Source organism: Homo sapiens, chromosome 11 (genome assembly GCF_000001405.40).
Source record: "Homo sapiens chromosome 11, GRCh38.p14 Primary Assembly".
Classification (NCBI taxonomy): Eukaryota; Metazoa; Chordata; class Mammalia; order Primates; family Hominidae; genus Homo; species Homo sapiens.
The window spans coordinates 113,349,049-113,373,734 of NC_000011.10; the positions used below are offsets into that span (position 1 = coordinate 113,349,049).

At 44.6% G+C, this 24,686-nt stretch overlaps 1 protein-coding gene across 9 annotated transcripts in view; it reads left to right on the forward strand.

Annotated features, from left to right (window-relative positions):
* Positions 1–24,249, forward strand: part of TTC12 (tetratricopeptide repeat domain 12) — a 58,715-nt gene extending 34,466 nt beyond the window's left edge. For 7 of the 9 annotated variants that reach the window (NR_165392.1, NM_001378064.1, NM_001378065.1 and 4 more), the window contains 9 exons: positions 1,025–1,117; positions 2,191–2,251; positions 3,022–3,159; positions 10,315–10,413; positions 10,892–10,960; positions 13,353–13,454; positions 14,780–14,879; positions 15,787–16,012; positions 17,177–17,339. Coding sequence is in view for 6 of the 9 variants with exons in the window: in NM_001378064.1 (NP_001364993.1) it covers positions 1,025–1,117; positions 2,191–2,251; positions 3,022–3,159; positions 10,315–10,413; positions 10,892–10,960; positions 13,353–13,454; positions 14,780–14,879; positions 15,787–16,012; positions 17,177–17,252 (964 nt within the window). In the remaining 3 variants the exon portion in view is untranslated. Of the gene's footprint in view, positions 1–1,024; positions 1,118–2,190; positions 2,252–3,021; positions 3,160–10,314; positions 10,414–10,891; positions 10,961–13,352; positions 13,455–14,779; positions 14,880–15,786; positions 16,013–17,176; positions 17,340–19,138; positions 20,075–24,075 lie in introns of those variants that run through there. The other 2 variants (NR_147891.2, NR_165393.1) reach the window with 2 other exon arrangements.
* The last annotated feature ends 437 nt before the right edge of the window (positions 24,250–24,686 follow it).

The following is a 24,686-nucleotide window of genomic DNA, read 5'->3' on the forward strand; positions in this document are numbered from 1 at the left end:
TCTTGTTTCATCATTATGACCTCAGAACTGACCACATTGCCTGGTACACAGTCAGTGCTTGTTCATTGTGATTGGTCAAATGGATAAACGAATGAATAGCTAACACTACACTTCAAGAGACACTGAAGTGTCATCTATTGAAGGCTTCTTCACTTCCATGCCCACACCTTCCACCAGTGAGACTCTGGTCCCCTCAACATGTGTCTGTCTCTGACATATCACCTAAGACAGTTTATCTTATTTATTTACATGTGTATCACTGTAGGAGACCAGGAGCTCAGTACTGAGCACAGTATACTTAGCACCTTATAGATGCTTAATGCAAGTTTGCTGGATGAACAAATTACTCTTACTTCCATTGTCATGGTGCCAGTAAGTCCGTTTGGGCAGCCTGAGATTTCATCAGGTGTTTTTTGGCATCTGTGTTAGACTGTTTGCTCATTTTGTGTTTGTAAGTGGCTAAAAATCCTTAAATCTTTCTCATAGGAACCAGTTATAAACCAGGTCTCACAATTCTGTTACTTAAGCAGAATTTCCAGCTCTAAGTGGAGGACTTTGAGCTTAACCCTATTAAATTTAATCTAATATATTCAGCAGCCTGTCACAATCTTGTTAAATCTTTATTCCGTCACCCACCTTATTAGGGGGCCCTCCCACTTTAGTCATCAGCAGATTAGTAAGCATGCCATTTAGATGTCATCTAAGTTAATGAACCTGACTGAGCCAGAGTCACATGGCAGAGTCACAGAAACTCCTTCTGAGCTGGCGTCCGATAATCAATAAACTTTGGTTAAAAGTATTCAGCATTCTGGGGATTCACATTAAGTGGTGGAGCCAACCACTTAAGAGTATCTGTCTCTGGGTGGGCAAGGAGCTAGGCTTCCTAGGAGGGCATGACAAGGCACCCTTTCTGCTTATTTCACCCGGATGCTGACTCCTTTTTTGGTTTCCTTGCAAGGTTACCCTGTTGGGATGTTGTTAGTTGGAGGACAGCTACCTCTGAGGTTATTATGGTTTTTTGCAGATTATTGGAAGCGCTGGTGTCATTTCTTGATTTCTCGGATAAGGAGGCCAACACTGCTATGGGACTGTTCACAGACTTGGCTCTGGAAGAAAGGTAATTTTTTTATTTATAGAAATTGACATTTCTTCTTCAGTCTTTGTTGAACTGTCTGATCTTTAAAAATGTGCTGTATTCAGAGAGGCTAGGCCAAGTCTCCAAGTGAGTATTGCAAGATTCACTGAGTAGGAGGGCTGATGCCTCCCAGGGGGCTGCAGCCACCCACTCCCATTCTAGTCACTCTGCATAGAGGCTGACCCGGGCCTCCATGGGTTTGGAAGCAGCAGCATACTTAAAGCAGTGCCTCTCACAGTAGGCAAGCCTCCCAAGTGTCAGGAACCTTCCTCCCTCCTAATCAGTGCCTGGTACATAGGAGCTGCCCAGCAAATTTGCGTTGAATGAACCTGAGCGAGCCAGCGAGCCAGCAAGCAAGAATGAACAGTCAACTGCAGCCTCCTCTGGGGTTGCCAGTGACATTATGAGTAATGACCTCCTTCTGCCCCATGGCTTTGTGTTGTTTTGTTTTGTTTTGTCTAGCTGCTGGGGATGATAGTAAGGGTCTTAGTTTTCATAATTTTTCAGTTGCTTTTTTTTAAAGTGCATCTTGTGTTTTAAATTTCCTCACAAATTTTAGGACACCTTGCTTAGAGATGATAATAGGATGAGAGAGCTCACAGGCAGGCCAGCCAGCTGGCACGGGCCGGGGTATGGAACAGTGGCCATAGAGTGTGGAGATGCGCATGCATCCAGGCCCTCCCAGTGGCTCCGATGGGTAAACATGCTTGCATGGTATTTGCCTTCCGCACCGCACACACACGCTGTAGACTCAGAGCAGGGGTTGGGGGTAAGTCAGCTTGGCAGAAGCCTAGAGATTCCAGTAGCTCCTGCTTAAGGGAGCCACCATCTGAGATCTGTTGTTTAACATCAAAGGCAATTCTCCAGACTCAGAAAAATTAGAGCCACATTACATACACAGTGACATGCTTTTTTCTTTTTTTGGTTCTGAATTGTCCATGCACACTCTAAATCATATGGACCTAGAGTTTGCAACATTAACTATCTGAGACACTGTATTTATGTTATAGTTTATGCAATGTAAAAATAAATCCTGGCTGATGGTTTCTCAACAGATTCCAAGTCTGGTTCCAGGCCAACCTTCCAGGTGTTCTCCCTGCACTCACAGGCGTTCTGGTGAGCAAACTGTCATTTTCATCCTCTGTAACAGACACTCTCAGGAGCGTGAATGGGGCTGTTTAAACACAATTTACAATCCAGAACAACTATTGTCTCTCGGTTGATTAGTCATTTATTCACAGCTGGAATTTACACAATTCTCAGTTATTGAAACAGCTACAGGAGGGACAGGTGGAGGTGGCATATGGATGGCGCTGGTTACAGGGGAGGAAAAGCTGGATATGGGTGGCATCTTAAGTGAAGGTGGATAGAGTTCGTCAGTCTCCATCAGTCCCCTGCTGACACTAAGTACGACGTGCAACCCTATTCCCAGATGGAAGTCATCCTGTCAGGAAGACCAGTGTAGCAATTTGAGCTGATAAGGCAGTGAATAGTGTGGGGGGCAGGGCTTCTCCTTGGAGAGTGTGTTGCAACTGGAGCCTATCCCTTATGAACCTTAGAAGTTTCAGGGGCCCTTAGAGAGCATAACCACACCTCAGTATGTCACAGCTATGGAAATGGAGCCTCTGAGAAGGGAAGGGATTTGCCCAGGTCCCTCCAGCTGGTTGGTGGAGGAGCTGGGATTAAGCCCTAGGCCAAGACCCTTTTGGGTTTACCCCTCTATGTGCCTCCATCCGTTGCCAGTGAGACCCCAGGGATGCCCCTGTGTGACATGAAGCTATCTGGTTGGTTCGTGGGCCTTTTGGTGAGTGAGGGATGCACCTAGAGATCATGCGGCATCCTTTGCCTGCTCTCTGAGGCTCTGCCTTCTCTCAATTCTCATTTAGAAGACAGATCCCAAGGTAAGCAGCTCCTCGGCTCTGTGCCAGTGCATTGCCATCATGGGAAACCTCAGTGCTGAGCCCACTACCCGAAGACACATGGCGGCCTGTGAGGAATTTGGGGATGGCTGCTTGAGCCTCCTGGTATGTTAGCTTTTCTATTCAAAATTGGTCTTTATCCTCTTTGGGGGCATTAGCGTCTTCTTAGTTATCTGACTTTTCCAAAAATTCTGTTTCTGTGGGTGTTGGATGGCGCCAGTTGGCTTATCCCTTCTGTAACCACGGATTTTATGCACTGCTGGCCTTAAAGAGCCCTGCAGATCAAGTCTCATTTGCCCTGGGGAGATTTGAAGGATTTTTTTTAATTTTTAAAAATTATTTATTTATTTATTTATTTATTATTTAACTTTTAAATTCAGGGGTACATGTCTAGGTTTCTTATATAAGTAAACTTGTGTCATGGGGGTTTGTTGTACAGATTATTTCGTTACCCAGGTATTAAGCCTAGTACCTATTATTTATTTTTCCTCATCCTCTCCCCCTTCCTCCCTTCTGGCAGGCCCCAGTGTGTGTTGTTCCCCTCTATATGACCACGTGTTCTCATCTTTTAGCTCCCACTTACAAGGAAGAACATGTGGCACTTAGTGTTCTGTTCCTGCATTAATCTGCAAAGGATAATAGCCTCTAGCTCCACCCATGTTTCTGCAAAGGACATAATCTCTTTCTTTTTTATGGCTCTGTGGTATTCCGTGGTGTATATGTACCACATTTTCTTTATCCAGTCTATCATTGATGGGCATTTAGGTTGATTCCATGTCTTTGCTATTGTGAATAGTGCTGCAGTGAACATATATGTGCATGTGTCCTTATAATAAAAAGATTTCTATTCCTTTGGGTATATACCCATTAATGGGATTGCTGGGTCAAATGGTATCTCTGTGTCAAATGGTATCTCTGTTTTAGGTCTTTGAGGAATAGCCACACTGTCTTCCACAATGGTTGAACTACTTCACACTCCGACCAACAGTGTATAAGTGTACCTTTTTCTCTACAGCCTTGCCAGCATCTGTTATTTTTTGACTTTTTAATAATTGCCATTCTGACTTGTGTGAGATGGTATCTTGTGGTTTTGATTTGCATTTCACTAATGATATCAGTGATATTGAGCTTTTTTTCATGTGCTTATTGGCCATATGTATGTCTTTTGAAAAGTGTCTCTTCATGTCCTTTGCCCACTTTTTAATGGGGTAGTTTATTTTTCTCTTGTAAATTTTTTTAAGTTCTTTATAGATGCTGGATATTAGACCCTTGTCAGATGCATAGTTTGCAAAAACTTTCTCCCATTCTATAGGTTGTCTGTTCACTCTGTTGATAATTTCCTTTGCTGTGCAGAAGCTCTTTAATTAGATCTCATTTGTCAGTTTTTGCTTTGGTTGCGATTGCTTTTGGTGTCTTTGTCATGAAATCTTTGCTCGTTCCTGTGTGTAGAATGGTATTGCCTAGGTTATCTTCCAGGGTTTTTATAGTTTTGGATTTTACATTTAAGTCTTTATTCCATCTTGAGTTAATATTTGTATATTGTGAAAGGAAGGGGTCCAGTTTCAATCTTCTGCATATGACTAGCCAGTTTCCCCAGCATCATTTATTGAATAGGGAATCCTTTCCCCATTGCTTGTTTTTATCAGGTTTATTGAAGATCAGATAGTTTTAGGTATGCGGTCTTATTTCTGCGTTCTTTATTCTGTTCCATTGGTCCATGTGTCTGTTTTTATACCAGTACCATGTGTTTTGGTTACTGTAGCCCTGTAGTATAGTTTGAAGTCAGGTAACGTGATGCCTCCAGCTTTGTTCTTTTTGCTTAGGATTGCCTTGGCTATTCAGGCTTCTTTTTGGTTCCATACGAATTTTAAAATAGTTTTTTCTAGTTCTGTGAAGAATGTCAATGGTAGTTTAGTAGGAATTGCATTGAATCTATATATTACTTTAGGCAGTATGGCCATTTTAACAATATTGATTCTTCCTGTCCATGAGCACAGAATGTTTTTCCATTTGTTTGTGTTATCTCTGATTTCTTTGAACTGTGTTTTGTAGTTCTTCTTGTGGAGATCTCTTTCACTTTCCTGGTTAGCTCTATTCCTAAGTATTTTCTTTTGGTGGCAATTATAAATGAGATTGCGTTTCTCATTTGGCTCTTGGTTTGACTGATGTTGGTGTATAAGAATGCTAGTGACTTTTATATGTTGATTTTGTATCCTGAGACATTGCTGAAGTTGTTAATTAGCTTCAGGAGCTTTTGGGCCAAGACTGTGATTTTTTCTAGATACAGGATCATGTCGTCTACAAACAGAGGTAGTTTGACTTTTTCTCTTCCTATATAGATGCCCTTTATTTTCTCTCTTGCCTGATTGCCATGGCCAGGACTTCTAATGCTATGTTGAATAGGAGTGGTGGGAGAGGGCATCCTTATCTTGTGCTGGTTTTCAAGGGGAGTGCTTCCAGCTTTTGCCCATTTAGTATGATGTTGGCCATGGGTCTGTCATAGATGGCTCTTATTACTTTGAGGTATATTCCTTTAGTATGTAGTTTATTGAGAGTTTTTAACATGAAGAGGTGTTGAATTTTATCAAAAGCCTTTTCTGTATCTATTGAGATAATCACATGGTTTTTGTTCTTAGTTCTATTTGTGATGAATCACATTTATCTATTTGTGTATGTTGAACCAACCTTGCATCCCAGAGATAGTCTACATCATTGTGATGGATGAGCTTTTTGATGTGCTGCTAGATTCAGTTTGCCAGTATTTTGTTGAGGATATTTGCATGAATCTTAATCAAGGATACTGGCCTGAAGTTTTCTGTTTTGTGTGTGTCTCTGCCAGGTTTGGGAATCAGGATGATGCTGGTCTCACAGAATGAGTTAGGAAGGAGTCCCTCTTCCTTGATATTTTGGAATAGTTTTAGCAGGAATAGTACCACTTCTTCTTTGTACATCTGGTAGAAATCAGCTGTGAATCTAGCTGGTCCTGGGCTTTTTTTGATTGGTAGGCTCTTTATTACTGACTTAATTTCAGAGCTCATTATTGGTTTGTTCAGGGATTCAATTTTTTTCCTGGTTCAGCCTTTGGATGGTGTATGTGTCCAGAAATTTATTCATTTCTTCTAGATTTTCTAGTTTATGTGCATAGAGGTGTTCATAATATTCTCTGATGGTTGTTTGTATTTCTGTGGGGTCAGTGGTGATATCCCCCCTGTTGTTTCTGATTGTGTCTATTTGCATATTCTCTCTTTCCTTCTTTTTTAGTCTAACTAATGGTCTATTTTATTAATTTTTCAAGAAACCAGCTTTAGGATTTATTGATCTTTTGAATAGGTTTTTATGTCTCAGTCTCCTTCAGTTCAGCTCTGATTTTGGTTATTTCTTGTCTTCTGCTAGCTTTGGGATTTGTTTGCTCTTAGTTCTCTAGTTGCTTTAGTTGTGGTGGTAGGTTGTTAACATGAGATATTTCTAACTTTTTAGTTAGAAATATCTGTTAGGGCATTTAGTGCTATAGATTTCCCTCTTAACACTACCTTACCTATGTCCCAGAGATTCTGGTATGTTGTATCTTTGTTCACATTAGTTTTAAAGAACTTCTTGATTTCTGCCTTAATTGGTTTATTTGCCCTAAAGTGATTCTGGATCAAGTTATTCAATTTCCATTTAATTATATAGTTTTGAGTTCATTTCTTAGTCTTAATTTCCAAATTGAGTGTTAAGATTTCAGTTATTTTGCATTTGCTAAGGACTATTTTACTTCCAAATATGATTGATTTTAGAGTATGCACTATGTGGCGATGAGAAAAATGTATGTTCTGTTGTTTTCATTTGGAGAAATCTGTGTATGTACATCAGGCCCATTTGATCCAGTGCTAAGTTCAGGTCCTGAGTATCTTTGTTGATTTTCTATCTCAGTGATCTGATATTGTCAGTGGGGTGATAAAGTCTCCTGCTATTATTGTGTGTCAGACTAAGTCTCTTTGAAGGTCTCTAAGAACTTGCTTTATGAATCTGGATGTTTCTGTGTTTGGTGCATAAATATTTAGGATAGTTAGATCTTCTTGTTGAACTGAACCCTTTACCAATATGTGTAATCCCTTCTTTGTCTTTTTTGGTCTTTGTTGGTTTAAAGCCTGTTTCATCTAAAACTAGGATTGCAACGCCTGCTTTTTTTCTGTTTTCCATTTGCTTAGTAGATTTTTCTCCATCCTGTTATTTTGCCTATGTGTGTCATTGCTTGTTGGATGGGTCTCTTGAAGACAGCATACCAGTGGATCGTGGTTCTTTGTCCAGCTTGCCACTCTGTGTCTTGGGACATTTGGCTCAATTTGGCTCATTTACATTCAAGGTTAGTATTGCTATGTGTGGATTTGATCCCATCATCGTGATATTAGATGGTTATTTTGCTGACTTATTTATGTGGTTGCTTTATAGTAATGCTGGTCTGTGTACTTCAGTGTGTGTTTGTAGAAGCTGGTAATGGTCTTTCCTTTCCATATTTAGTGCTTTCTTCAGGAGCTCTGGTATGACAGGTCTGGTGATAATGAATTTCCTCACCATTTGCTTATTTCTCCTTTACTTATGAAGTTTAATTTGGCCAGAAATGAAATTCTGGGTTGGAATTTATTTTCTATAATGATGTTGAATATTGGCCTCCAGTCTCTTCTGGGTTGTAGAGTTTCTGCTGAGAGGTCTGCTGTTAGTCTGATGGGCTTTCCTTTGTAAGTGACCTGACCTTTCTCTCTAGTTGCCTTTAATATTTTTTCTTTCATTTTGACCTTGGAGAATTTGATGATTATGTGTCTTGGGGGTGATCTTATGAAGTATCTTACTGGGGTTCTCTGCATTTCCTGAATTTGAATGTTGGCCTCTCTAGCTAGGTTGGGGAAGTTCTCATGGATGATATCCTGAAATATGTTTTCCAAATTGGTTCCATTCTCCTCATCTCTTTCAGGGACACCGATTAGATGTAGATTGGGGCTCTTTACATAATTCTATATTCCTCAGAGGTTTTTCTCATTCCTTTTTATTCTTTTTTTATCTATTCTTGTCTGACTGTCTTATTTCAGAAAGCCTGTGTTCAAGCTCTGAGATTATTTCCTCTGATGGGTCTATTCTGGTATTAACACTTGTGATTACATTATGAAATTCTTGTAGTGTGGTTTTTCAGCTCTATCAGGTTGGTTATGTTCTTTTCTGTACTGACCATTTTCTCTGTCAGCTCCTTCATTGTTTCATTATGATTTTTGGCTTTCTTGGTGTGGGTTTCAACGTACTCCTGTAGCTCAATGAACTTCATTCCTATTCATATTCTGAATTCTATTTGTGTCATTTCAGCCATGTCAGCCTGGTTTAGACCCCTTTCTGGAGGGGTGTTATGGTTGTTTGGAGGAAAGAAGGCATTCTGGCTTTTTGAATTATCAGGTTTATCATGTGGATTCTTTCTTATCTTTGTTGATTTCTCTACTGTCAATCTTTGAGATTGCTGACCTTTGGATAAATTTTTTTTCTTTTATCTTATTTGACGACCTTGAGGGTTTTATTGTGGTATAAGGTGGCTTCAGCTGACTGGCTTTATTTCTAGAAGATTTTAGGAGGTCAATATTCAGCTCCCAACTTCTGGACTGGATGCTCTAACTCTGAGGGACTTGTATTGGGCCTCAACTTTGTTTTCTGGCTTCTCTAGGTTAAGAATACACTTTACTGGGGGAGCCAAGGTGATCCCGAACCTCTGGTCACTACACTCCAATGGGTGTTGTTAGCCCAAGAATTTCATAATGTGGTGACAATGGGACCTTAACTTGTTCACTCATGCCAACAGCAGCAGAAGACCTGTGGCAGAGTGCTAGCAGGTGTCAGGGTGCCTGCCTCCCTGCGGGTGTTTGCCACAATGGCAGAGGCAACGCAGCTGGGGGAGAGGGTCCCTGCTGATGACTGTGTGTGTGGTCATGCTGAAGATTGTGCCTTCTCTGTGCCTCACAAGCAGAGGAGGTTGCTCCTAGGGGGAGAAGGATCTGCTATACTCTATGCCATGCTAGCACAAGGGCAAGGGGAAGGTGCTGGTAGGGGTGGGGCTAGCTGTGCCCATCAAGACTCCATCTGCAATGGTGATCAGTGGGAAGAGGAGGGGCAGGACTGCACTCCCGTGCTCTGGCAGGGCAAGGAAAGCAAAACCTGCCTGATCAGACACTCACCAGCAAAGTGATGTGGGGAGTTGCCCTGGGCCCAGGGGAAGCTGCAGTGTGGGGAGGGAGCATGTGGGCTGGTGCATGGTGATGGGGTACTCTGCTGGTGCTCTCCACTGGTCAGGCATGGTCTGCCAGTGCAGAAGCTATGGTGTGGGCCCCCAGAGCCCCCAAGACTGCTCAGCAAGCAGGTGTGGCCTGGCTGGGGCCCCAGGAGAGGCCAGCAGAGCAAGGGGTCCTCAAGTTGGACTGGCCCTGTTTGATGGGCAAGACCACCCTGCAGAGTTCAGGTCTGATGATTCCCCGAGGGCTAAAGTCTCCTGTGGGAGCAAGTTGAGCCTAGTGGGGATGGCTGTCCCTGGCCATTCTCCACTACAGACACTTCTACGCCCAACCCTCTGGGCTCCACATCAACTGGCTTGCCACCCCTACCACTTCTCTAAGCAGCTCTCCCTGACAACTCGATGAGTGTCTGTGCTGGTCAAGGGGATTTCTCCTGCCAGGGTTCCAGAGGCCTATGATGAGATCAGGTTGCTCTTTGCCAGTTCAACTCACCCATTCCCCAAGAGCCTTTGGGGACCAAGAACAAGCCTTGGTACATAGGCTTGCATGCAGCATTCCCAGTTACTCCCTTTCTGCCCTGCTTCTGCATCTTCCCTTCATCTACTCTCAGTGCCTTCCCTTTGAAGATCTATTAGGAGCATGTCAGTCATCTCTGTCCCTCAGTGGGAGCTGTTCCACCTGGCTGTATCTAGTTAGCCATCTTGCCTGATCCTGATTTGAAGGATTTTTCTGGTGGAGTTGAATGATCACCCGTCTCAGCAGCTGACTCTTCACTTTAAACCCAGGACCAACCTCAGCCATAGTCCCATGGCAGAGGCACCAGAGACTCCTTCCAAGTCTCCTGGACCAACACTAACTCATAGAACTGGTCTCTGATCCTCCACCATCATTTAGGTTCATGACATTGGCAATTTAGGGAGTGTGGGGAACTCTGAGACCCTTGTCCAAGGGAAAAGATGACCATAAAAAGCTGTAAGGCAAAAAGGTCATTGGTTACCTTGTTTTGTTTCCCAAGGCCAGGTGTGAGGAGGATGTGGACCTGTTCAGAGAGGTTATCTACACACTCCTGGGACTCATGATGAACCTGTGTCTTCAGGCTCCCTTTGTCTCTGAGGTATGGCATTCTTGTCTCCCTGCCTGGAGCCCTGGGACAACCTGTACACATTCTGTGGCATAAAACCATTCTCATGTTCACGAAGAGACAGAAGCATGTACACTCACACACTGGCCGTGGAATGGGAAAAGGCTGGAGGGATGCGCTCTCCCTTTGCTCTGCTGAGGGATGGATGGATCACCACTCAGTCATGTATTCACTCAGAAAACAGACTGGGTATCCAAGGTGTGCTGAGCAGAGTATGAGGTGCTGCATTTACAAAGTCAAATAAAAGGCGGTTCCTGCTATCAGGGTAATGCCCTGGAGTTAGGGGAGACAGACATGGGGAGGAATAAAAGCAGTAAAAGATGGTGTTGTGAGGGAACCTGGGCATAGTGTGGTGGTGCTAAAAAGGAGACGGTGCTCAGAAGAAGCTCCGCTGAGAATTCAGATTGTCAGAAAATTAAAATCTCCTGCTGGCCTCTCCCCATTGTTGTAGGTTTGGGCTGTGGAGGTGAGCAGAAGGTGCCTGTCTTTACTAAACAGCCAGGATGGAGGAATCCTGACAGTAAGTTTCTCCCAGGGAAATCCAGAAGCAGCTTCCATTGTTCTTGTTTTGTTTTGTTTTGTTTTGTTTTATTATCAGTGTAATCTTTTTGAAGTTGCCACCTTTGAGAATCTGCTGACTCTGAGATATGGTGTGGATATACTATTCAGAATAATGTACACAAGCACATAAATACCAGGTTTTGTCTACAGTTTCAGAGATTTGGTGACCTCCTTGCTGTGTCCGTCATCTGTGGATCCCCTAGAGTCCAGGAACCCAACTTAAGAATCCCCCTTCCGTATGGTCTGAAATTTAACCAGCTTAGATGATATAATCGATCCGATCTGTCCTATTTCAAAATATCCTGTGCAAATTGGACAGATCAAGTGTCCAACTTATTTAGAATCCCTTTTTTCCATAAGAAAAAAAAAAAGCCAAGCCCATATTTTAAGCCAGTGATCCTAGAGGTTGTTTGTGCATAATAGTTTTACCCTCTTTTTAAAATATATGCTGAAATGGCTTTCTCAATTCTGTGTCTGACATTTGAATAAGAAAACTGAGAAAGGCCTATATGTTAGCACAGTGCATCAGGAGAAGAATATTAGTATGATTCAAGAGGCTATTTGCCATCACCCTAGAACGTATTCTTCACTCACATTAAGTGATCACCCGTTTTTCTCCCTGTCAGGGCAGGACCCTAATGGCTAGGGAAGCAATTAGGGCCACATCTAGGGTGGGTCTGGGAAACCAGCCTTTCAAGGGTTGCAGACTGAGGACTGCCTCCACAGTTTAAAAAATGTTCTGAGTAGATCCAACATACCCTGTTTGGGGGTAGCACTCTTTAAACGTCCCCAAAGTCAATTCAGACAGGATAGGGCAAAGGTTTTGTGCGTGTGCATTTTCACAGACGGGGCATCGTAGCTTTCATCAGATCCTCAAAAGAGGTCTATGACCCCCAAAGTGGTAAGCACCACCGTTTCCGGATGGTCCAGACCTAAAGGTGAGCCTACACTAGTGCCTGAGTAAACCTTTAGGAGAGCTCTTGGGCCAGATTTCCCCAGCATTCCTTGTGTGCCACGTTGGGTGCTTCCCAGCTTGCTGAGCAGAGCAGCAGCTTCACCATGGGCATCTGGTCCTTGTCTAGCACAGTCTCCACTGTCTTGGGCCTGAAAGGGGATCCGTGGTGTCAACTATAGCAAAATTCTAGGATCTTTAGGAAGCAGATTAGGGAAACAAGATTGATAATACACAAGTTTATCTTTTCTCCCTCTGGAGACCTCATTAAAATGAGATTAAAGCCATTGGGGGGGAACAAAAAAAGTAGAGACCTACGTTGACAGTGAACAGGCAATGGTTACCAATAGGTAAGTAATTTTAACAAGTTTCCTGAAGATGGAGAACAGCTGCAAGGGTGGTAATTAATGAGGCAGGGCTGAGGAAACCTTTGTATGGAGTACAAATGGAGGAACACGTAGCTGGGCAGTAGCAGGTTTGCCTTATAATACCCTGGAGAGGATGAAGATTTCAAAACTCCCGATACAACAGAGAGCAGAAGTACAAGGCAGTGGAGCTGCGTTTGCTGGCAGGCATCTATCCTCCAGGCATAAAATCAGAACACTTTTATCTCTAAAGAACTGAAAAACTGGAGAAAACATTTTTCTTTCTAGTATACGGGGGTGCCACCTCTATATCTTTCCATACTTCTGATAAACTTCCCATAAACATAGCATGCCCAAACATATTTTCTTGCTTTTTTCATACATGTGATTGGGCAGGTAAAGGGTCAACCAGACATTGCAGGAAAGCTACACACATAAATAGGAAAACCAAGATAAACATAAAAATTGATCCAAAAGAAATAGAGATGATATAGGAAACAGAAGAAAAAAATAGTAACTATCATTTGTATCCTGAGAAAGATTTAAGATAGTTATATCCATAAAAGAGTAACAGCTTGGCATTTATTTAAAAAAAAAAAAAAAGAAAGAAGAGCCGGGAAATAAAGTAAATGAACTATCCCAGAAACTAGAACAAAAGACAAAGATTCGAAAAGATAAAGATAAATGACACAGAAGACCAATCCAGGAAATCAAACATCTCCTTATAAAGGGCCTGCTGATATCAGAGCTCTGGGAGGAATCACAAGGGAGAACTTCCTTTCTCAGAGTGGAACTGGTTGATCCTGTGTGAAGCTGAAATAATATGGGCCTCTGGGTGGCAAGGGGCTATGATTACAGCTCCTTGACAGCTTTATTAAAAAGAACAGTGCTTTCTATTATTTGGCCATCATATTTTTTATATTTTGCTTCCAATATAATGATTGCTTTTGCCTCACCAAACTCCCCGTTAGCTTTTAAAGGTTGTCAGCATTTCTGAAAAGGACATTTAATTATCCTCTTTCTGCTGTACTCAGAGAGCTGCTGGTGTTCTGAGCCGGACCCTTTCTTCCTCTCTGAAAATTGTTGAGGAGGCCTTGCGAGCAGGAGTGGTAAAGAAAATGATGAAATTCCTGAAGGTAAGATCACTTTATTGGTTACAACCCCTGAAATGTACAGAAGTCTCCTATTTTATTCGGGGAACAGAATTAAGGTGGGCTTTGTTTGGTTAATGTGCTGCCATTTCTTCCTTGCTAGATTTTAAACTTCTTGGATAGGGATTTGCTTCTGCCTGTCTACCCAGACCATACTCTGAACATCAACAACAGATTGTTGAATAAATAAGAAAATTGTTCATTAGATACATCTATAAAACCTGCTTACCCCTCAAGCCTGACTTAAAAATATATGGCCACTGTTCTTGATAAAAATGATCTGAGTGGCTTTCTGTAACGTTTCTCAGGCACATTGTTCTGCTCAGGTTTTGCTACTCATGATGCTTTATACAGTTATCTGGAGAGTGTTGGATGGAACTCCATCTATGAGACATGTAGCCTGCAGAATTACCATGTGACCAAAGGATGTTGGGATTTCCCTGTGAGATGAGTGTGGTGAATCTAAGCAAGCCAGTAGAGCAGTTATCTGGATTCACCTGCAAGGGCGAAGGGGATTAATACACTAGGCTGCCATCTCAGAATCCCACCTATGATGTGTGTGCCCATGAGGTCCATACACCCATGTTAGTGTGGTGACACATGGCTTTTATTCATAAAGCATCAGGCTGAGTGGCGCAGGGAAGCATGCTCTGCGGGCTGCTGCTAGGGCAGGGGTGACACTGAGGGGGCAGCACAGGGGGTCTGAGTTTAGATTGCCACTTGAACAATGACTGTCATTCATTATAACTTTTGCAAACCCACCAAAAGCTCCTGATGGCATGCATACCCATGCATCACACGTGCATACGTGCACACATGCCTTTTAAAGACCCCACATGGGTGATTGCAAGGGCTGTGTTTGACAGTTGTCATCTCTTAAAATGATGTAGGTTCCTGAAGTTCCTCATGCAGGACTGTCAGCCTGACAGCCTTAGCAAGTCAGTCCTCGTTCTCAAATGGGAAAATGACATGGGAGGGCCTTTTCCTCCCTTTTTGGTAGATCTGCCATTCATCAGCATCATTCTCTTCTCAGCCACTTGCTCATAAAGCCTTCCGGAGGCAATTACTCAGGTGTACATGACAGGCCTACATTCCTGTCAGGGGTGTGGGCTGGGTTAGAGAGGATGCGGGTGACACTCTGTTCCAGCAGGGACCATGCCTGCCCACCAGGAAGCACATGCCGTTCTCAGTAGAATTCTCTTTTCAGAGTTTAGGAAGCCACTAGCGCTATAATAACTGCTTGCTGTGGTTTGTGGTCAAGAGCAATCATAGCACTGATTTTATTTTTCTAATTTCATTCTGAAATCTAGACAGGAGGTGAGACTGCATCACGTTATGCTATAAAGATACTAGCTATCTGCACGAATAGTTATCATGAAGCTCGGGAAGAAGTAATAAGACTGGATAAAAGTAAGTGATGATTTCCTTAAGGGAGCCCTTGTCCCAGAGGTTCATCCACCCTTGAAGCTGCAAAGGGAACTGTGGTCGAGGAGGAACTTAGCAGCAATGCTGTTAACCTCTCCCAGACTTCAGCAATGTTTACAGAAGATGTTTCACATCCAGATCTGAAAGCATTTAATTAACCTTTTGGATGCACACAGGTAGAATGCCCAGGCTGGAGACCCAGCTGACAGATGGCTCAAAGATAACAGGGTCAAAGCTAGGAAACTCCCTCCTCTCACCAAGTTCAGTTCTCTGCCTTCACAGAAGGAGAGGGGGAAACACCGTCAACGTTTAGTGAACAAGGGAAATATCAGAGTCTGAGCCTAGGTTTAGTCCAGTAACTTAAACCGGCTGTAGTTATTCACAGCAGGCTTCCCAGGAGAGGCAGCCTGCTAATGTTCTTCTTACCAACTCCCTGGAATGCACAGAAGGTGAACTGAAGGAGGCTCCACCATGGAAGCGGCAAGCCTTTCTCCTGGATCCTGTTGCATACCCTGCAGGTGTAGGTTGCTGGCACATTGCCTCCACCTGGGGGCTGTCAGATAAGACCTCTCACCCTGGCGCAGTGAGAGGTTAAGAATAGGCTTTCAAGAAGACAGACCTGTCTGACACACAGCATTCATTCATCTAACAACTGTGTTGTGCTGGGCACTGTTCTAGGAAGCGGAGATACTTCAGAGGTTCAGCAAGGAGTTGAGGAGGTTCATATGCATTCAGTGAATGTTTGCTGATGAGTAAGTGAACAAGTTCTGCTGCAGAGTTACTGGGGAAGCTCGGTGTCCGCTGACATCTCCCTGCACCCCTCATGTCCTGTTGCCAGCCTCCTATTTTGGGATTAAAAGGAGCTGTTGCTTGTTCTCTTCTTTCCCTGCAGAGTTGAGCGTTATGATGAAGCTGCTCAGCTCGGAGGATGAGGTTCTGGTGGGCAACGCTGCCCTCTGCCTTGGTAACTGCATGGAGGTGCCCAACGTTGCGTCTTCCCTGCTAAAGACGGACCTTTTGCAGGTCTTGTTAAAGCTTGCAGGCAGTGACACACAGAAGACGGCCGTGCAGGTGAACGCAGGCATTGCTCTGGGGAAGCTGTGCACAGCTGAGCCCAGGTATGCTGTGGACACGGAGCCAGGCTGACCTATTGCAGAAAGAGCAGCTGAGCTGAGGTGCTGAGTTTTGGCTGGGACTGCATGCCACACAGAACAGTGTGGGAAGCCCTCATGCTTTCTGTGCAGACCTAGGTTAAGCCCAGTAGCTGCTTCTCTGAAGAAAGCCTTTCTAGAGGAAACTGGGGAGCTCTCGGTCTCCAACCAGAGAGGGAATCGGCTTGTCTGACAGGGACGTGCTGCTCCCACTTGCTGCCGTTGCCTTCTCTCCATTCCATTCTCCACTGTTTTGCATCCCTCTCCCTGTCTCTTTATCCTCCTTCTTCCCCTCCCTCCCACTCCACCTCCCCTTCTCTTCCCTCTTTTCTCTCTTCTCCACTTTTCCAGAAACAGACCCCCCACTTCATGTTCTTTGCCTCAGCCTAAACAAATGGAGGAACGGCCAGCAAGGGTCACATGTTCATGCAGGAGAAAACAGTGGAGAAGGAGAGACGCAGAACAGCATGCCGAGGTCCCCAGTGAGCGAGGGCAAGAGATGTGGGCTGTAACTGTGCCCATGGCTTCTCTGTTAGCTCAGACCTCCACTCTGCTCTGCTCCTCTTCTGATGTGCAGACGCATCTCATTGCACGTGCTTTTGGGAGGTGTCCACCTGTGGCTGAGCAAAGGAGCCCTGGCATAGAGCAAGGGTAACCCCGGGAGCTGAGTGAGAGAGGCTCCTTCCCTTACATCCACATGCCTTTAATTCCTCCTCTGTAGATTGAGGGGGTTGGCCTTGATAATATCTAAGGTCCTTTCAAGTTCTGTCTGGTTGTTCAAATGGAAGGAATAGTTAAAATCTTTCTTCTATAGAAAGAAAGCACATTAGCTAGGATGACTTCAAAGTGGCAACCTATGGGGGAGTTCTCGAGAGCAAGGTCCTGTCTGATCAGCCTGACACACCTGCCACCTGCAGCGAGTGTTTTCAGTGCTTTGTGGGCCTCCCTGAGGGTCTTACTTACCCCTGTGATCTTTAGGGTACCCCAATGCCACAGCCACTTCCTGTTTCCACCCAGAGTGATAGGACTGACGTTCTCAGCCAGCTTCCATCTGAGAGGGTGTTGGCTCTGGGCTCCAGAAGCCTGAACCGTGGCACTTATGCCCTGGGTTGTTTGTTTTGATTGTGACAGATTTGCTGCTCAACTGAGAAAGCTTCATGGCCTAGAAATTCTCAACTCTACGATGAAATACATCAGTGATTCTTGAGAGAGACAGGGTTTGTGTGCATTTGGGGAACACACAGATGCACACCGTGTGTTGTTCCTATGCTAATAAAGACCTTTGATGTATCCACTTCAGAATCAAGTACTCATTTTTAGAGTGTTTGCATTTCAGGTTTTCACGGGTAACAAGAGAGTGGGCATTAGGCTGGCTGCTGTGGTGGGCTCTGTGCACTGGCTTACTCGACTTCCATTGTACCCTCCTTTGAATGTTCTTTCCTGTTCTGTAGAAGCTAGAAACCATCTCACAAAAAGCCACATTGCCCAGACTCCCTTGTAGCAACGATTCTAGATGGGAACTAGTGGCCAATCTAATGCCACTTCCTACCCCTTTTGCTATTTTCTGCTGGCAATATGCTAGAAACATCAGATTTGTTGGTAGCAGCATTTCAGCTCCGTTTTTCCAGCTGTGGAGTGCTGAGAGAGAGTTGCATTGGCATCATTGGTGGCCTGCAGCTGACTCCTGGCCTGCAGCCACTGCATGTGCCGTTAAATTCAGTGGGGTGAGTGGTAGGTGGTGTCTCCCCTGTTAGGAGAACTCTGCGTGAATCATTCTGGGAATCATTCCTGGGGGTCCCTCTGGCACCCTCCTCCAGCCCATCTGGTGGTGCTATAGGCACCCTGTTCCATGGGTTAGATTGTTCTCTGCTAAAGGTGCCAAAGCACAGGCTTCTCTTTCTACAGTGAACCCTGACTGATGCAAATGTGTTGATTTCCCTAACCCACCTTGTACTCTCACCCCATCCCCAGAGGCAACGCTCCCTTCCAGTTGCCCCAGGGTCACTCTAAACCAGGGTCACCTGTGGACTGCAAGTCCCTAAGTGAGAAGTCCAATAAGTGGCATTATCTCTGGCTCCTTACAATCACAGAATCATTTTAGAGTAGGAGGCAGGGTCTTCATGGTACAGTGAATGTCAGGAGTCCCAGACCAAAGTTCCAAAGACTTTTGGTCGTACCCTGCTACCTGCCCTGCCAGCCATGTGACTTTGGGCAAGTTGCTTAACCTCTCTGAGCTTTGGCTACTGCTTCTGGAAACACTAATACCTGCCCAACCTACCTCCTCCATTGTTGTAAAGGTTAAATGAAGTTTTGGAGGTGAAGGCACTTTGGGAATTATAAAGTACTACGCAAATATAAGAGATTACCAGACTCTATCTTGAGATTGAGGGTGTCAACTATGACGTCATTTGGGTTAAGTTTGAAGGGTCTGGGAAAGGATGAAGCTCATGTCCTTTAAGGAATCAAGCTGGCCATTCTCTGAAGCATGTAGGAAAGGAAATCCTCCTCCTCCAGGGAGATGTTATTCAACACACCCAAAGAAAGTGTTCTTCACAGGTAAGGCAGCTGTTGGCTTAAATTAAGAACTTCGTTTCTGAAACGGAGATAAATAATTGGCATTTGGTGACGGGGGTGGGCGGTGGAAGAAAATCAATGGCCTGAGCCCCTCATTCAGATTGATGTACTGCGCATGGCTGGAGGGAGCTCACTGGGGCACTCTGTGGTGGCGCCCTGGGTGGCAAGCAAGTGACAGGCCACTAGCCAGGACCTGCCCATCAGTCCTATCATGCAAACAAACACCCTTCAAGAGGCTACTGAATTGCAAAGGGAGAACGGCTCGATGCTAATCAGAGCACAAAGAAGAAAATTAGAGGGTGCAAAAGTTGCTGTTTTCACAGAATTCCGTGGAGCTTTGAAAACGGAAAGGCTGTTTGTGTTCATAACCACCAGCCCTGTCTCCTTTGAAGTTCAGGCCCCGCCTTCCCCTGCTATGGCTGCCCTCCTTCTTGGCTCTTGAAAATGGCTATGATAGGTGTATTCTCTTCCCCAAAGAGTGGGGAATGTCAAATTACGTTATTATGTTTATTGTTCCAGAGTGCCTGCCGAGAGCAGTCATCTCCAATTTGGAAGAGAGTCTGCTGCACCTGAAGCTCTGTCTCCTCGCAGGTGGGAAGAGATGTTTCACATGCTAGTATTCTCCCTCTCCAGTGTGGATCCACCCCCGCCACCGCCCCAAACTTGTTACCCCTAACACATGCTACCATGCAGACCTTCCAGGCAGCATGGAAAATACCAGCGCCATCTTTCAGAAGGCCTCATCTCCACTTGCCAGGAGCCCCGACACCACCCTTGGAGACACGGCTTGTTCCAGGTAATCAGAGTCTTCTGGTTCAACAAGCAGAGGAGCTGGGATTTTCCATCCTAAAGAGGATGTGGCCGGGATGGAACTCCATCACCATCCTGAAGCCACAGCAGAGGTGGCAGGTAACAGACAGTCCAGAGCTGCTCACTGTCTTCATACATGACGTGAGGACGGTGGTTCCAGTGCGCCGCAAGGTGGGACTGAGGTTCAGAGTTGAGAGGAAACAATAGGAAGGGGCTGAGATGCTGCAACAGGTCACGGGCTGCTATTGTAAACACTTTTTTAAGGATAGGTTCAAATAAGAGCTTCTTGGCTTGGAGAACTGAGGGGAAGTATGACTAAGAAGTATTAGGTTGGTGCAAAACTAATTGCAGTTTTTGCCATTAAAAGTAATGACAAAAACTGCAATTTCTTTTGCACTAACCTAATATTCTGAGGACAAGAAGACATTTAATACCACATGACTTTTTTTAAGTAAGAGGTCTCATTTTCTAAATAACTTGAAAATAGAGGCTCTCCAAGGGTTCCGTTACAGGAGAGAATAATCAGAGGTGAAGAAAACCCATTTAGAGCTGACTCCCTTTCCCAGGGAATGAGCTTTTGGTCCTCATAGACTGGCATCCTGCAGACACGCAGAGAGAAAGAATAAAGCCTGCCTGTGCATTGTTTGTTTGTTTGTTTGTTTGTTTTGAAACAGAGCCTCACTTTATCGGCCAGGCTGGAGTGCAGTGGTGTGATCTCAGCTCACTGCAACCTCTGCCTCCCAGGTTCAAGTGATTCTCATGTCTCAGCTTCCCATAGCTGGGATTACAGGCATGCGTCCGTATCCCAAATTTTCATATTTTTATGAAATATGGTGTTTCACCATGTTGACCAGGCTGGTCTCGAACTCCTGACCTCAAGTGATCCACCTGCCTCAGCCTCCCAAAGTGCTGGGATTACAGATGCGAGCCACCATGCCCGCCCCCCCACCCCCCGTGCATTGTGCCTTTGCTCTGCACTAGGCACCCTATCAAAACTTGAAGATCCTGCCCTAACATAAGCCTCATAACGACTGTGAGGTGGGTATTATCTCCACTTTACAGGTAAATAAGATAAAAACAGAATAGTACTTTCCCACCCAGGATCACATAGCCAGGAAGCAGGGGAGTCAGAATTTGACCCCAAGCTGTGTTCTTAACTCTTCCTGCATGTAAAACATTCCTCTCCTTACTAAGTGTGACCTGCAGAAAAGTCACCACATTTCTCAGAGCCCCAGTTTCCTCTCTATAAAATGGGAGCATCAACACCTACCTCTCCTTCTGTGGTTTGGATATAATATACATGAAGTACCTAGCATAGGTGACTGACAGATAGAAAGTATTTACTTAATGGCGACTCTTTTTGAGAACAGAAATGACCATGAGCCCATTATCTGCCCCCTCCCACCCTCACGGATCTGCTTATCTTCCTTGGTCCTCCGTCTCACTGAAGGCAAGCATGTATTTGGCTCTGTTTACCTTTCCCTCTCTCCTGTGACTGGTGGCAAACATGAAGATCCCCCAAGAGCCAGCTGCCAGCCAGAAGCCTGCCTTCTTACATGACCCCATGGCAGCAGGGCCTGAGAGCACTGGTCTTGGGTGGGATGGGGTTCAGAGCAACTCAGGGCTCAGGGATAGGGTAGCAGCGCTCCTTGTCAGGGCCTGGGGCCAGGGGTGCATGGGCATCAACAGGACCCAGTGTGAAGTGGAAGGTGCTAGGATCAATGCTCTAAAATCCTCTTTGCAAACAGATACTCCTCTGTTACTTGCAGTTTGTCCTCAGTTTATAATCAGGAAAACCTGTTGATTGCAATGACTGTAGCTCCAATCATATATTCATCAGGATGTCATTAGTTCTTTTCTCCTAAAGCCCCAGAGCTGCATCCCCCTACCCTCCCTGATGCCCTAGAAAGAGGAGTGCTAGCCCAGCGGGACATCCAGTTGCCCACCACCTCCTCCAGCAGCTCCCGGCCCTGTGGGTGGCCACATGCCAGCCAAGCACTGGGCTTCTGTGACCTGAAGCTGCTGGATGACTTATTTCCTTTTAATAAGACTCCTAATTTGATCTCAATTTCAAAAAGGCAAAATGATGAAGGAGTTCTCCCTGGAGACATTCTGCCCTGTGGTCTGATTTTGCCCTGGGGCTGGATCAGGCTTTCTTGGCTGCTCTGAGGCTCAGCCCTGGCTTAGGTAGGAGGGAGCCTTAGGGTGCTGGCAAAGCAGGGAACAGTGGGCTGCCGATTACCTCTGCCAGCCACCCCAGCCTCAGATCTCCCCAGTTCTGGAGCAGGGCTCCTGTCACCAGCGGGTTGGAAGGAACTGCTTTAAATGAGGGTGGCTGCCTGCCAGATGTGCTGATTCAGCTCAGCCTGAGCATCACTCCATTGTCACATCTGTCCCCAACTTTATGTTTGGGCTTCTTATCTTCAGCAGCTCTGGATGCTCATTTAGATCCCTCAACTCCCCTCGGGCAACAAGCACACACATACACACACCCCCACACACACGGAATTCATCTCGCTGCTGCTGGGAGATGAATTTGCACATTAAAATAGGTGAGTTAACGTGCAAGGTGATTTACACTAGATCAAAGGCACAGCAAGATAGTGAGAATTATTGGAACAAGAGGCTGAAGAAAAGGCTCCTAGAATGTCCAAGCTGAAAAGTATTCAGGGATCATCTAATCCTCTACAGTCATCCCTTTGTATCCACCAGGGATTGATACCACAGATACCAAAGCCCTGGGATGCTCAGGTCCCCTATATGAAATGCATCATATTTGCATATAACCTACATACATTCTCATATACTTTAAATCATCTCTAGATTGCTTATAATACCTAACACAATGTAAATTCTATGTAAATAGTGGATATACTGTATTTCTTAAAATTTGTATTATTTTTTATTGTTGGAGTGTTATTTTTATTGTTTTTTCCCCAAATATTTTTGATCTGCAGTTGGTTGAATCTGCAAATTTGGAACCCGAGGGTACAGAGGGCTGACTGTATCTGCTTTGTTGGAGTCCATCTGATTCATTGTCTAAATACAATTAATTGCTCCAAAATGGCTAGTCCATGCCCCCTTATTTTATAAATAAGGAATCTGAGACTCAGAAAGGCCAAGTGAAGTATCTTCAATGTTCTTACCTTTGTTCAAGAACCCTCTGAACTAATGGTCCAGAGTGGGGTAGGGACTCCAACAAGACCCGGAGAGGCAGGAAGCTCAGTGGTGGGAGTGCAGGCTCAAAGTCCTCCTCCACCTTGCTTTAAATTTCATAACCTCGCTTTAAGTTTTAAGTTTCATAACCTTAGTGAGTGGCTTAGCCCCTCGATTGCCTTGTCTGTAAAAGGCAATAGGGGAGATATGATACCCACTTCTTAGGTTTGTTGTGGGGATTAAATGAGATGATTTCTATAAAGCTCTCATCACCGTACTTGGCACATGGAAGCCCTGAGGAGATGGGCACTCCTGTTGTGGTCATGTTGGTTGAGCATACTTCCATAGATGGCCCCACCCGGCCATCCCTATATGCTCTTTTCTGGGGTTCTTAAATGTGAGGATTTTTATCAGGGTTGGAAGGGTTTCTATGTGACTCTACCCTAAAGGTGGGGGATAAAGAAGTAGGCCTCCAAATGGCAGGCTGAGCTGGCAAGGAGGGCCGAGAGAATCTAGATGGAACACAGGGCAGGCACAGGAAGAGCATGAAGGATTGAAATGTACATTCTGTGGTATTAGGCATTGCTGAATTCTGCACTGTATCATCAACATCAGGGGAAAATAAGAAAAAGACAGGTGCTGGATTTAGTTAACTTGACTTATTGCCATAGCCTCCTTGCTGATCTCCCCATCTCACTCCACCTTCTAAGCCATCATGCACACTGCAGCCAGGAGAATCCTCTGAAACATCACTTTCATTATGCTGTACGCCTTCCCAGGCACCTTCTCACAACTGTCTACAAGATAAAGGGCAAACTCATTTGCTTAGTGTGTGTGCATACGTGCATGCGTGTCTGTAGGGGGAGTAAGACCACAGAGCTTTTTAAATTCTCTGAAGTTTTACTGATAAAGCACTCACATTATTGTACTTTAACTATTGTAGGCTATAGATGCATTCCGTATACTGCATATGAGTAAGAGCTATGATTCATAAGTTTTAGGTATAATTTAAAATAAGCATATCTATTATTATCCCTCAAATTATTTTTCTTTATAAATAATAGTGATAAAATTCTACATGGCCTTTGCACATAAACCATCCAACGTAATCTGAGCAAGCCTTAAAGTAGGCTTGGTTTTAGGGTCATGTTCTTGTTCCCAGTTAGGCCAGCCAATGTTGGGCATCAACCCTGGGTGTCATTGCTCACTATGGTGTTCCAGCATCTCAGGGAAGCCTGAGCAATGTTTGTTGAAGGGCAGCTCCCCACCATACCATCTCTCCTCTTAGGCCAGCTTCCCAATGGGTGTCTGCAGGCATTCCACTCACTCCTATATCCTCTGTTTCAAAGACCTTCTCCTTTCCTCTCTTCCAATCTTACACATCCACAAAGCCCCAACATAATAAAAATGATAGGTATCTCCTGTTAAATACTTGACTGGTTTCAGATCTGTCTAATGAAACGGGTTCTATCATTATTCTCCCTTTACAGATGAGGAAACTGAGGTGCAAAGCAGTTAAGCAACTGGTCCAAGATCTAGACCAGGTACTCAACCACCCCACTCCACATGCAACTGTCCCCAACCCATGCGATTCATCCTTTCCCTGAAGGCTTGTGTGGTGCTGCCTTTTAAATTCATAACATAATGACTTCATTGTTATGAAATTCTTTTCTGTGTCTTTATTTTTTCTCTCCAACTAGAATTTAAATTCATTAAGGATTTAGAAGATTCATTCTCCTGTGAGAAGTCTTATAGACAAGAAAAAGAGAATTAGGCATAGACAGAAGGGTTGTAATCACCCTTCTCTGAGCATGTGTCATTATGGAGGACAGGACCTTGAATTTGGGCTTGGCTCTGTCTTCGAGAGTATGTGGGTGAGTCACTAGTAGTGAACATGACTTCCCATTCTGTCGTGGCATTATTTCCAAACTCATGGCCAGACACAACTTGGCTCTCCCATTCCTCAGGGAAGTATGTGGCTGCCACCACAATTCTCCCTCTCCACATGGGCAAATGTAGGCCGAAAGACCATCCTTCAAAGGTCTCAGAGAATCCTGGTGTTTTAGGCCAAGCCTCAGCCCTGCAGTGTGTCTCTTGTCCA